The sequence below is a fragment of the Homo sapiens genome, chromosome 4 (genome assembly GCF_000001405.40).
Source record: "Homo sapiens chromosome 4, GRCh38.p14 Primary Assembly".
Lineage (NCBI taxonomy): Eukaryota > Metazoa > Chordata > Mammalia > Primates > Hominidae > Homo > Homo sapiens.
In genome coordinates this window covers 98,529,398-98,543,920 of record NC_000004.12, presented here as the reverse complement: position 1 = coordinate 98,543,920, position 14,523 = coordinate 98,529,398, and the positions used below count along the sequence as shown (strand labels likewise).

At 43.3% G+C, this 14,523-nt stretch overlaps 1 protein-coding gene across 7 annotated transcripts in view, besides 1 other annotated feature; it reads left to right on the top strand.

Annotated features, from left to right (window-relative positions):
* The window catches only part of TSPAN5 (tetraspanin 5), a 188,245-nt gene that overhangs the window by 114,691 nt on the left and 59,031 nt on the right, over positions 1 to 14,523 (top strand). The window lies entirely within an intron of this gene.
* Positions 7,040 to 7,553: an enhancer, noted in NCBI's record as "H3K4me1 hESC enhancer chr4:99457519-99458032 (GRCh37/hg19 assembly coordinates)". NCBI's record gives its function as "activates a minimal SCP1, AML or CMV promoter by ChIP-STARR-seq in primed H9 embryonic stem cells {active_cell/tissue: H9 hESC(primed)}" and the evidence as "EXISTENCE:reporter gene assay evidence [ECO:0000049][PMID:30033119]".

The following is a 14,523-nucleotide window of genomic DNA, read 5'->3' as shown; positions in this document are numbered from 1 at the left end:
ACAGGTGTGTGCCACTGCACCTAGCTGACATTTTTTAAGCCCAATATTGTGATCTAATATTCTATAACTGTATAGGATGGATAAATCAAATGTCGTGAAGTTCACATATAGAAAAAGGTATGGATTCAGGTAGTCTCAAGGTATGCATTATTTGGGGGAAAATTAGAAAATTCCCTAAAGACATTTAAAAATTCTAAAGTAGGCTGGGTGCAGTGGCTCACACCTGTAATCCCAGCACTTTGGGAGGCCAAGGCAGGTAGATCACTTGAGGTCAGGAGTTCAAGACCAACCTGGCCAACATGGTGAAACCCTGTCTCTGCTAAAAATACAAAAAAAAATTAGCCTGGCGTGGTGTCGGGAGCCTGTAATCCCAGCTACTTGGGAGGCTGAGGCAGGAGAATCGCTTCAACCAGGGAGGCGGAGGTTGTGGTGAGCCGAGATCACGCCACTGCACTCTAGTCTGGGCGACAGAGGGAGACTTCATCTCAAAAAAAAAAAAAATTCTAAAGTAGCAGAATTGTTATGTATGTATTTATGGATGGGTGTATATATATGTATATTAAGAAATGCTAGTCAAAGTGCAGATATGATTTACACATTATCTAATGGAAGCTTTCTAACCCCCGACCCCATAGGCACATCCACGATGCGAGAACACAGGCTCATGCAGAGTTGAAACGCTGTTGCCAAACTAAATCAAGACTGATAATTGGCCAGTTAGCTCAAAGAGTCAATGAAAATGATGAGGGTGTGTGTAAAATGACACATACTTTACACATTTTATTTTAAATGAAAATACGATTTTGAAGTAGTATATTGTCTAGCATTTTGGTTTTTTCCCTGCTCGTGCTGTGTGCATGGAGACTCTGATATTTTTCCCCCAGTGGTATGTCACTTGCTGTAATATTTTGAGTACTAGGAATGTTTTGAGATAGGCCCAAGGTCTTTTTCTTGTCTAAGTGTCCTCTGACTGAAGTATCTTCCTTGTGTAAACTTCAGCCATAATTTGTCAGCCACAACTTCCATTTACATTTTTTTAAGGTGGACCTAGAACTCAGCAATACTTGCAAAGTAATCTAAGTCGGGAGGTTTTTCCAGAATTTTTCCAGTGTTATGCAGTTGTCTCCGTCACACCTCATTCAACAGCAAACTTTTGTCATGGTTTGCCTTCATGGAGTCTTTTTTTTTTTTTTTTTTTTTTAAAGAGATGAGGTCTCACTGTCACCCAGGCTAAAGTGCAGTGGCACGATCATAGCTAATTGTAACCTTGAGCTCCTGGGCTCAAACGATCCTCCTGCCTCAGTCTTCTGAGTAGCTAGGACTATAGGCATGTACCACTGTGCCTGGCGAATTTTTAAGTCTTTTTGTAGAGAATGGGTGTCTTGCTGTTTTACCTCGGCTGGTCTTGAACTCCTGGCCTTAAGCGATCCTGCCACCTCTGCCTCCCAAAGTGCTGGGATGACAGGCATGAGCCACTATGCCCAGCCTGCCTTCATGGAGTCTTTACAAGGCATTTAGCTTAGTTTTTACAGAAACAACTATTTCTTGACTTCCATATTTAATTGATTTTATATAATGCTTGCACAGTATGCATGCAAAGCAAGTACACTTGGCACAAAAAGATTTGAAAGGAAACATAGCTCACCTGGAATAAGCACACAGCTCCATGGGTGGAACGGATGTGAGCAGATGTGTTGGCACTAGGACCACTGGTAGCTCACACTTAGGTGGGGCTGTGTGTTCTAAGTTCTTTGTATACATTGACTCATTTCATCTTCACAGAACCCCGTCAGGTAAGATATTATTATCCCTTTACACAGATGAGGGAAGTTATGTACAGAGAGGACAAGAGATTTGCTTCAGAGTGGCCTACTAGCTGCCAGCATTCAGCCTGCATTGGGCTTTAGACAATATGTTTTGCGAAGGAAATGAGAGCATTTTGTGTGGGGGTAAATTAAGAGCACAGAGACACTATATAGAGATAATCCCTTAATAAAACCCACCATAACACATAAAGACTTCTGAAATACTCTCCATATCTCTCTAAAATTAGAGTCTAGGCTTTTAGAGGTAGAGATGACCTTAACGTATCCCCTGCATATCCCAACAGGATAACCAAGACCCAGATGGGTGAGGTGATTTGCTTCACAGGCACCCAAGAAAGTGTGGCATAAAGTTTAGTTTCCTGATTTAACCCCCATTTTCCTTCTCTCTCTCTCTCTCTCTTTTTTTTTTTTTTTTTTTTTGAGACAGAGTCTTGCTCTGTCACCCAGGCTGGAGTGTAGTGGCATGATCTCGGCTCACTGCACCCTCCCCCTCCTGGGTTCAAGCAATTCTCATGCCTCAGCCTCCTGAGTAGCTGGGATTATAGGCATGCCACCATGCCCAGCTAATTTCTTTGTATTTTTAGTACAGATGGGGTTTTTCCATGTTGCCCAGGCTAGTCTCGATCTCCTGGCCTCAAGTGATCTGCCTGCCTCAGCCTCCCAAAGTGCTGGAATTACAGGCGTGAGCCACCATGCCCAGCCTATCCCACATTTTCTTATGGAAGAAAAGGATGCATTGTAGTGTATATGTAATCTTCTGAGAGAAACATTCAGGAAATGAGCCTCTCAGAGTTTGCCAAGAGAGCAGGAAGGTTGGTGGATAAGGACCACCTTAGTGTTATCAAATCCACATCTCTCCTGCAGTCAGAGTAAAGCCTGTACCAGGTAATCTTAGGACTAGAAAGGGTCTAGCGATGTGGTTTTATCCACCCCTGTCTAGAGAAGGAGGGAATGAGGCCAGCTGAGCACCAACAAGGTAGATGGTTTTGTCACTATTTTATGGGTAAGGAAGTTGAGCTTCAAAGAGAGAAAATGATTTATCCAAAATCACACTGCTAGAAGGAAATGGAACCAGGACACAAGCCTGGTCTTGCTGAAGCTAAGGCCCGTGTTCTTTATGCCGTGCTAATTGTTCATCCTGTGCAGTTGTTTAACCACAGTTTTCTTGGCTAGAAGTTCTTCCTAAAGTTAACCCTAAATATCTCTTGAATTTAAATGTGTATCCTTCTGTAGTCCTCAGTCAACAAAAGAAGCGATTGATCAGCCTATTTGAGAGGTTATAAGAAGACACAGATTGGCAGTGTTTGAATGTCAGTAGTACTCATCAAATAATCCCAGGATAGAAGGCATTTTGTTCAACTCCCCATTATCCCTGCTCACATTTGCTCTGTAGCATCCCCACGAAGCCTGTGCTGGGTAGTTTTCAGTCCGGGAATTAAGAGATATAAGAAAGAGGGGGCTGGGCACGGTGGCTCACGTCTGTAATCCCAGGACTTTGGGAGGCTGAAGCAGGCAGATCACCTGAGGTCAGGAGTTCAAGACCAGCCTGGCCAACATGGCGAAACCCCATCTCTACTAAAAGTACAAAAATTAGCTGGGCATGGTGGCACGTGCCTGTAATCCCAGCCACTCAGGAGACTGAGACAGGAGAATAGCTTGAACCTGGGAGGCGGAGGTTGCAGTGAGCCGAGATCGCGCCACTGCACTCCAGCCTGGGCTACAACAGTGAGACTCCATCTCAAAAAAAAAAAGGAAGAGGGAAGTCACCACCTTAGCCCATCCCATCTTCTTCCCAAGAGGTCATACACACATATGCCGTCTTTGATTTGTATTTGCAAAAGTAATTCATGTTTATAGTAGAAACTTGGATCACTGAAGAAAGCTCAAGAAAGAATTTGAAAATCTATGTGTATGAGTTATCTATTGCTATATAACAAGTTACCCCAGAATTTAGCAGCTTAAAACAAACTTTTATCTCCCATAGTTTGAGAGTCATTAGTCTGGGAGTGGCTTAGCTGGGTAGTTCTCTCATGGAGTTGCAGTCAAGCTGTGAGTTGAGGCTCTAGTCACCTGGAGCTTTGTCTGGGGCTGCAGGGTCTACTTTCAAACTCACGTGAGTGTTGGCAGGAGACTTCAGTTCTTGCCATATGGGCCGCCTCATGGAGCTGCCCACAGCATGGCTTCCCACAGAGCCATGTTGATGAGAGAGAGAGAGAACACGCACTAGAGAGCAACCAAGACACAGCCACAATCTTTTCTACGCTGATCTTAGAAAGGATGTTCCTGCACTTCTGTTGTATTCTGTTGGTCACACAACCAACCCCGGTATAATATTATAGGAGGGGACTACACAAAGGTGTGAGGACCAGGGATGGGAATCATTGAAGGCCATATCGAAGGTTGCCTACCACAGCATGTAAATTAAAATTATGTTGCAATAAATTACATAAGTTTTTGCCCACAGTTCTCCTTTTCTTCCCCCTAGAGTATTGCAAGATACAAAAGATCACCAGGAAAAAAAAAATCTAAAGGGAATGCAATGTTGAGGCATGAATGTCCCAGTAAGCTGTTTATTCCTTTCTCATTCTAGAGGAGCTTCTTGATTTTATTCCAAGTCTGCCATGTCAAAATTGTGGTTTGGGGAAGAGGGGAGTAAGGGCAATAGAGTGGATAGAAGCATGTGGATGCGCCTTGGTCCTGACATTTGTGTTTTGGTGAACCTGCTGCCTCTGAGAAAAGATAAGGAGTTTAGGATTTGGTCCAGGCTGAAACCTGGGAGAAGCTCATGGCTCCTGGACCTCCTTATTCTGCTTTTAGATGCAAATAAGAAACAGAGATTTGTAAATGATATTCTAATTTTTACAAATAATTATTTGAGGAAAAAGATTTGACTACTTCAAACATACAAGCATTGAAAGTAACATAAAAGGTTTTTTGGTTTTTTTTTTTTTTGGTGGGGGTGAGGGGGAGAAGCATTTTGTTTATGCAAATACAGGGTACAGAGATCCAGAAGGAGATCATAACATCTGGACAAGCAGTAGCATTCCCCAGCCTCCCACCCCCAACTGTTACAGATAACAGAGGAAACTTGTGGGTAAATAAGTAGTAGGTAATACAGGCATTTATAGATAGGGGACGTTTTCATATCAGACACGGCAGAGCTTTTTTTGAAAAGCACATACCTGTATGATATTTTGATGAATAAAGGTAATGCAGAAGCAAACTGTAATATCAAATAAATTTGAGTGAATTCTTCTACAGTACCTACAGTCAAAGGAAATTTATCAGTGAAAATCAGTATACAACAAACAGCAAAATGGAATAAATTTGAATAAATTCCTGCACAGGCAGTCACAGGACATGTTGATAAATATTTCAGTATAAACTGATACAAAGTATAGCATAAAATATTAATTTTGAAGGAATTCCTATGTCATGCCTTGAATAAAAGCTAATATTTCACTGAATAGTGTGTATGTACCAAGCAACGGGAAGAAAACTGAATTAGTTTTCACAAAATGGCTCTAACTTAATGTGTATAACCATTTTTCAGCTGACTTTGAGCCACAGGTTGCAGTAGTCATATGGATGTGACTCTTAGATGTCAGAGGAATGGCCCTGCTCTGGTGGCGGGGTGGCTGTTGGCCTCTGTCCCTGTCCATCCTGTGGACCTTTTTGTGGACTAAGGAGCTGATGTAGTGAACTGGTACTGCTGGTGTGTGGCTTTCTGGACCTGCCTCCCTCAGCCAGAGGAGACCCTTGGATTTCTCCATCCTAAGCCAGACTTACTGATGGCCAAGAGTGAGGAGCAGGCAGAACAGCCACAAAGTAACTGCTTTGCTCTTTGGCTATGCCCTAAAGTGTCCAAAGTCATTGTTCTAAAGTGGAGCAACTACATAACTGACAGTTAACCTCTAGAGCCCTGTACAAATCCTTCCTTTTAGTCCAGATGCTATATGAGTTTGGGGAACCTGAGCCTTCCTGTGTGCACGTATTCCCCTATTGCTGCTGATGCAGGGAAAACTGTGCCCAGTAGTGACACCATCCAGCACCTCAGGTGCCAAAGTCCCCAGGCCGTGATCACAGAGCATGGGGCTGAGCCCCTCATAGGTGGTCACATCACCCTCTTTGTCCTGCTGTCGGCTGGAATGTGTCCAGCCTAGCTCAGCATGGAAGAAGGTGAACCCCACCACCTACCATGAGCAGCACCTCAAATGACAATGCCACAGAGAAAATGGAGCAAAACCAGGATGACCTTGCCAGCTCTTCATTGTAGGATCAATGCATTTAGGTGCAGAGGGGTGTGGATGGAAGCCATGGCCTAGCTTGGCTTGTCGCAGACCTCTGTGCCAGGCCCTTGCCACCTCCTAATGCAGACAGCAAATACTGGAGGCCTGAGCATCAGCTCTTGAAGTAGCTCTCTGGGAGGGCGGTGAGGCACATGTTGAGAGCATGGGATTTGCCAGCAGAAAGATCTTCAGTGAATTACCTAAGCTCATTACACCTTAGAGTCCTCATCTGTAAAATGGGGCACTTGCCTAATGAGGGTGTTATGAAAATTAGCATATTTAAAGGTACTAGGGCTGTTTCTGGCACATTGTCAGGGTTCAGTAATTCTAGTTAAAAATAGAAAAGTGGCTTCTGGCTGGCAAGATGGCCGAATAGGAACAGCTCCGGTCTGTAGCTCCCAGCGAGATCGACTCAGAAGGCGGGTGATTTCTGCATCTCCAACTGAGGTGCCCGGTTCATCTCACTGGGACTGGTTGGACAGCGGGTGCAGCCCACAGAGGGCAAGCCGAAGCAGGGTGGGGCGTCACCTCACCCGGGAAGCGCAAGGGGTCGCGGAATTTCGTCCTCTAGCCAAAGGAAGCCGTGAGGGACTGAGCCTGAGGAACTCCGGCATAGATACTGCGCTTGTTCCACAGTCTTCGCAACCCACAAACCAGGAGATTCCCTCCGGTGCCCACCCCACCAGGGCCCTGGGTTTCAAGCACAAATCTGGGTGGCCATTTGGGCAGACGCCGAACTAGCTGCAGGAGTTCTTTTTTTCCATACCCCAGTAGCACCTGGAACGCCAACGAGACAACCATTCACTCTCCTGGAAAGGGGTGCTGAAGCCAGGGATCCAAGTGGTCTGGCTCGGCGGGTCCCACCCCCACAGAGCCCAGCAAACTAAGATCCACTGGCTTGAAATCCTCGCTGCCAGCACGGCAGCAGTCTGAGCTCCACCTGGGGCACTAGAGCTTGGTCGGGGGAGGGGCGTCCGCCATTGCTGAGGCTTGAGTAGGTGGTTTTACATTCACAGTTTAAACAAAGGCACTGGGAAGTTCGAACTGGGCAGAGCCCACTGCAGCTCAGAAAGGCTGCTGGGGCCAGACCGCCAGATTTCTTTTCTCTGGGCAGAGGATCTCTGACAAAAAGGTAGCAGCCCCAGTCAGGGACTTATAGATAAAACCTCCATCTCCCTGGGACAGAGCACCCGGGGAAAGGGGTGGCTATGGGCGCAGCTTCAGCAGACTTAAATGTCCCTGCCTGACAGCTCTGAAGAGAGCAGCGGACCTCCCAGCACAGTGTTTGAGCTCTGCTGAGGGTCAGCCTGCCTCCTCAAGTGGGTCCCTGACCCCTGTGTATCTGGGAGACACCTCCCAGTAGGGGCCGACGGACACCTCATACAGGAGAGCTCTGGCTGGCATCTGGCAGGTGCTCCTCTGGGACAAAGCTTCCTGAGGAAAGATCAGGCAGGAATCTTTGCTTCCGCTGGTGATACCCAGGCAAACAGGGCTGAGAGTGGATCTCTAGCAAACTCCAGCAGACCGGCAGCAGAAGGGCCTGACTGCCAAAAGGAAAACTAACAAACAGAAAGGAATAGCACATCTGCTTAAAGACCCCATCTGAAGGTCACCAACATTAAAGACCAAAGATGGATAAATCCACAAAGATGGGGAGAAACCAGCTGAAAAAGGCTGAAAATACCAAAAACAAGAACACCTCTTCTCCTCCAAGGGATTACAACTCCTCACCAGCAAGGGAACAAAACTGGATGGAGAATGAGTTTGACGAATTGACAGAAGTAGGCTTCAGAAGGTGGGTAATAACAGACTTGAGCTAAACGAGCATGCTCTAACCCAATGCAAGGAAGCTAAGAACCTTGAAAAAAGGTTAGACGAATTGCTAACTAGAATAACCAGTTTAAAGAAGAACATACATGACCTGATGGCACTGAAAAAACAGCACAAGAACTTCGTGAAGCATATACAAGTATCAACAGCCGAATCAATCAAGCAAAAGAAAGGATAGCAATGATTGAAGATCAACTTAATGAAATAAAGAAAGAAGACAAGATTAGAGAAAAAAGAATAAAAAGGAACGAGCAAAGCCTCCAACAAATATGGGACTATGTGAAAAGACCAAATCTGTGTTTGATTGGTGTACCTGAAAGTGACAAGGAGAATGGAACCAAGTTGGAAAACACTCTCCAGGATATTATCCAGGAGAACTTCCCCAAATTAGCAAGACAGACCAACATTCAAATTCAGGAAATACAGAGAACACCACAAAGATACTCCTTGAGAAGAGCAATCCCAAGACACATAATCTTCAGATTCACCAAGGTTGAAATGAAGGAAAAAATGTTAAGGGCAGCCATAGAGAAAGGTCAGGTTACCCACAAAGGGAAGCCCATCAGACTAACAGTGGATCTCTCTGCAGAAACCCTACAAGCCAGAAGAGAGTGGGGGCCAATACTCAACATTCTTAAAGAAAAGAATTTTCAACCCAGAATTTCATATCCAGCCAAACTAAGCTTCATAAGCGAAGGAGAAATAAAATCCTTTACAGACAAGCAAATGCTGAGAGATTTTGTCACCACCAGGCGTGCCTTACAGGAGCTCCTGAAGGAAGCACTAAACATGGACAGGAACAGCCGGTACCAGCCACTGCAAAAACATACCAAATTGTAAAGACCATTGATGTTATAAAGAAACTGCATCAACTACCAGGCAAAATAACCAGCTAGCATCATAATGACAGGATCAAATTCACACATAACAATATTAACCTTAAATGTAAACATGCTAAATGCCCCAATTAAAAGACACAGACTGGCAAATTGGATAAAGAGTCAAGACCCATCAGTGTGCTCTATTCAGGAGATCCAACTCACATGCAAAGACACACATAGGCTCAAAATAAAGGGATGGAGGAATATTTACCAAGCAAATGGAAAGCCAAAACCAAACAAACAAACAAAAAACAGGAGTTGCAATCCTAACCTCTGATAAAAAAGACTTTAAACCAACAAAGATCAAAAGAGAAAAGAAGGGCATTACATAGTGATAAAGGGATCGATGCAGCAAGAAGAGCTAACTATCCTAAATATATATGCATCCAATACAGGAGCACCCAGATTCATAAAGCAAGTTCTTAGAGACCTACAAAGAGGATTAGACTCCCACACAATAATAGTTGGAGACTTTAACACCCCACTGTCAATATTAGACAGATCAATGAGACAGAAAATTAACAAGGATATTCAGGACTTGAACTCAGCTCTGGACCAAGCGGACCTAATAGACATCTACAGAACTCTCCACCCTAAATCAACAGAATATACATTCTTCTCAGCAACTCATCACACTTATTCTAAAATTGACCACATAATTGGAAGTAAAACACTCCTCAGCAAATGCTAAAGAATGAAAATCACAACAAACAGTCTGTCAGACCACAGTGCAGTCAAATTAGAACTCAGGCTTAAGAAACTCACTGAAAACCACACAACTACATGGAAACTGAACAACCTGGTCCTGAATGACTACAGGGTACATAACGAAATTAAAGCAGAAATAAAGATGTTCTTTGAAACCAATGAGAACAAAGACACAACATACCAGACTCTCTGGGACACATTTAAAGCAGTGTGCAGAGGGAAATTTATAGCACTAAATGCCCACAAGAGAAAGCAGGAAAGATCTAAAATTGACATCCTAACAACAAAATTAAAAGAACTAGAGAAGCACAGCAAACAAATTCAAAAGCTAGCAGAAGACAAGAAATAACTAAGATCAGAGCAGAACTGAAGGAGATAGAGACACGAAAAACTCTTCAAAAAAATCAATGAATCCAGGAGCTGGTTTTTTTTTTTTTTTTTTTTTTTAAGATCAACAAAATGGATAGACCACTAGCCAGACTAATAAAGAAGAAAAGAGAGAAGAATCAAATAGATGCAATAAAAAATGATATAGGGGGCCGGGTGCTGTGGCTCACACCTGTAATCCCAGCACTTTGGGAGGCCGAGGCGGGCGGATCACGAGGTCAGGCGATCGAGACCATCCTGGCTAACATGGTGAAACCCTGTCTCTACTAAAAATACAAAAAATTAGCCAGGCTTGGTGGCGGGTGCCTGTAGTCCCAGCTACTTGGGAGGCTGAGGCAGGAGAATAGTGTGAACCCGGGAGGCAGAGCTTGCAGTGAGCCAAGATCGCGCCACTGCACCCCAGCCTGGGCGACAGAGCAAAACTCTGTCTCAAGAAAAAAAAAAAAAAAAAAAAAAGATATAGGGGATATCACCACCAATCCCGCAGAAGTACAGACTACCATCAGAGAATACTATAAACACCTCTATGCAAATAAATGAGAAAACCTGTAATAATGGATAAATCCTGGACACATAACACCCCCCACAAGTCTAAACCAGGAAGAAGTTGAATCCCTGAATAGACCAATAACAAGTTCTGAAATTGAGGCAGTAATTAATAGCCTACCAACAAAATGTCCAGGACCAGATGGATTCACAGCCGAATTCTACCAGAGGTACAAACAGGAGATGATACCATTCCTTCTGAAACTATTCCAAACTATAGAAAAAGAGGGAATCCTCCCTAACTCATTTTATGAGGCTAGCATCATCCTGTTACCAAAACCTGGCAGAGACACCACAAAAAAGGAAAATTTCAGGCCAATATCTCTGATGAACATTGATGCAGAAATCCTCAATAAAATACTGGCAAACAGAATCCAGCAGCACATGAAAAAGCTTATCCACCACGATGAAGTCAGCTTCATCCCTGGGATGCAAGGCTGGTTCAACATACACAAATCAATAAACATAATCCATCACATAAACAGAACCAGTGACAAAAACCGCATGATTATCTCAATAGATGCAGAAAAGGCCTTTGACAAAATTCAACACTCCTTCATGCTAAAAACTCAATAAACTAGGTATCAATGGAACATATCTCAAAATAATAAGAGCTATTTATGACAAACCCACAGCCAATATCATACTGAATGAGGAAACACTGGAAGCATTCCCTTTGAAAACTGGCACAAGACAGGGATGCCCTCTCTCACCACTCCTATTCAACATAGTATTGGAAGTTCTGGCCAGGGCACTCAGGCAAGAGAAAGAAATAAAAATAAAGGTTATTCAATTAGGAAGAGAGGAAGTCAAATTGTCCCTGTTTTCAGATGACAGATATTTAGAAAACCCCATCGTCTCAGCCCAAAATCTCCTTAAGTTGATAAGCAACTTCAGCAAAGTCTCAGAATACAAAATCAATGTACAAAAATCACAAGCATTGCTATACACCAATAACAGACAAACAGAGAGCCAAATCATGAGTGAACTCCCATTCACAATTGCTTCAAAGAGAATAAAATACCTAGGAATCCAACTTACAAGGGATGTGAAGGACCTCTTCAAGGAGAACTACAAACCACTGCTCAAGGAAATAAGAGAGGACACAAACAAATGCAAAGACATTCCATGCTGATGGATAGGATGAATCAATATTGTCAAAATGGCCATACTGCCCAAGGTAATTATAGATTCAATGCTATCCCCATCAAGCTACCAATGACTTTCTTCACAGAATTGGAAAAAACTACTTTAAACTTCATATGGAACCATAAAAATCCTAGAAGAAAACCTGGGCAGTACCATTCAGGACATAGGCATGGGCAAAGACTTCCTGACTAAAACACTAAAAGCAATGGCAACAAAAGCCAAAATAGACAAATGGGATCTAATTAAACTAAAGAGCTTCTGCACAGCGAAAGAAACTATCATCAGAGTGAACAGGCAACCTACAAGGTGGGAGAAAATTTTTGCAATCTGTCCATCTGACAAAGGGCTAACATCCAGAATCTACAAAGAACATAAACAAATTTACAAGAAAAAAACAACCCCATCAAAACGTGGGCAAAGGATATGAACAGACACTTCTCAAAAGAAGACATTTATGCAGCCAACAAACATATGAAAAAAAGCTCATCATTATTGGTCATTAGACCACAAATCAAAACCACAATGAGATACCATCTCACACCAGTTAGAATGGCGATCATTAAAAAGTCAGGAAACAACAGATGCTGGAGAGGATGTGGAGAAACAGGAATGCTTTTACACTGTTGGTGGGAGTGTAAATTAGTTCAACTACTGTGGAAGACAGTGTGGCGATTCCTCAAGGATCTAGAACTAGAAATACCATTTGACCCAACAGTGCCATTACTGGGTATATACCCAAAGGATTATAAATCATTCTATAAAGACACATGTATGTATGTTTATTGCAGCACTATTCACAATAGCAAAGACTTGGAACCAACCCAAATGTCCATCAGTGATAGACTGGATGAAGAAAATGTGGCACATATACACTATGGAATGCTATGCAGCCATAAAAAAGGATGAGTTCATGTCCTTTGCAGGGACATGGATGAAGCTGGAAATCCTCTTTCTCAGCAAACTATCACAAGAACAGAAAACCAAACACTGCATGTTCTCACTCATAAGTGGGAGTTGAACAAGGAGAACACACGGACACAGGGAAGGGAACATCACATACTGGGGCCTGTCGTGGGGTAGGGGGTAGGGGAGGGATAGCATTAGGAGAAATACCTAATGTAGGTGACAGGTTGATGGGTGCAGCAAACCACCATGGCATGTGTATACCTATGTAATGAAACTGCAAGTTCTGCACATGTACTCCGGAACTTAAAGTATAATTTAAAAAAGAATAAATAAAAATAGAGAAGTGTGCCTGTAATCCCAGCTACTCAGAAGGCTGAGGCAGAAAGATTATATAATACCAGGAGTTTGAGGCAGCAGTGAGGTATGGTCATGCCACTATACTCCAGCCTGGGCGACATAGTGAGACCGTCTTTTAAAAAAATTTTAACATTTAGCCGGGTATGGTGGCACATGCCCCTAGTCCCAGCTACTCAGGAGGATGAAGCAGGAGGATGGCTTGAGCTCAGGAGTTTGTGGCAGCAGTGAGCTATGGTCTTGCCACTGCATTCCAGTCTGGACAATGGAGTAAGATCCTGTTTCTAAATATGTGTGTGTGTGTGTGTGTGTGTATAATATGTGTGTATATGTTGTGTAATCTTAAGTGAATCTAATAACTGCTCTAGTTTACTCTGCAAATGAAAAAACTAGACTAGACAACCTCTAAAATCTTTGTTGATTCTAAATATCTGTGTCTCAGTTTAGCTCCCATTCCCTTATTCCCAAGTCCAATGCACATCCCATCACTTTGTTTCAACTTTCATGGCCGAAGTGCAGGTGGGGTGGAGTGTGCCTCTAGGAAAGTGGAAACGGCTGTGGCTTTTCCACTGTGGCTTCAGGGAGCCCTGGCCTTAATCAAGCTGCTTTCTAGAGCTGTGTTGCCTCTGAGCCTGTTTCCTCATTTGTATGATGGGGATATCATTGTCTCCTTCACAGTGTGATGACAGTTAGTCATGTACAGAAGGCACCTATAGCTCCTGGCACAGGCTGATGAGCAACAAAAGTTCACCATTATCACTTTCTCAGTGTCTAGGGGACATTTCATCCCTGAGCATCTCTGGCCATTTCAGGATGTGCTCACTGTCTCTCATTTGCTCTGGTCCCAGTGACCTTGTTAGCTCCTGGCAATGTGTGTGCAGGCCCTTCTGCCTACCCAGTCAGGTGATGGCCTGGTGAACAACAGCAGAGTAGGCCCATGCCTGATGCTCAGTCATTTCACCATCTTTTTCCTGCCAGGTGCCATGTCCAAGATACAACACCTACATCAAGGAACTCAGAGTCTGAAGTCAAGGCTGCAGAAACTGTGGTCTAGCTTTCTGACCAAAGCTGGGTTTTGTGCTTCTATGGCAGTGTAGATTCTTTTACTTGAACATACTCAAAATCTTAGTTTTTAATTGGTGATTCTTTTTAGGATTACAGCAGTTTTTGGTCTCAAAGCCAAAAGATTCTGAATTATTACAGATCTTGTGTTATTTTGTGGCTGTATAACATCTCTTAACCAACCAAACAAGATGAGTAGGTTAGAGATTAAACTGGCTGCAGAAGTCTAAATGAAACTGAATCCCCAAGTTCTGAGACGCAGTGAGGAGAAACTGTATTGCCAATAGATCTTCTCATCCTGCATTTGGAGTGGTCGGGATTCTGGAGTCAGATGCCTGGGTTTGAATTGGGGTTTTCCCAGTCACTAGGTAGGTAGCAACTCTAGTCCAGGCTACTTAATGTCTCGTAAGCTCAGTTTCCACAGTTGGAAAGTGACGATATGGTGTTTACTTCAGTGGTTGTCCTGAAACTTTATTGAAATGACACAAGTTCGTAACTGTGCCAGTTCCATTGTAAGGATGCAATAAATGTTAGCTCTTGTTTTTATTAATGACGAGGATATAATGTTTAAACTCAATGCCCACT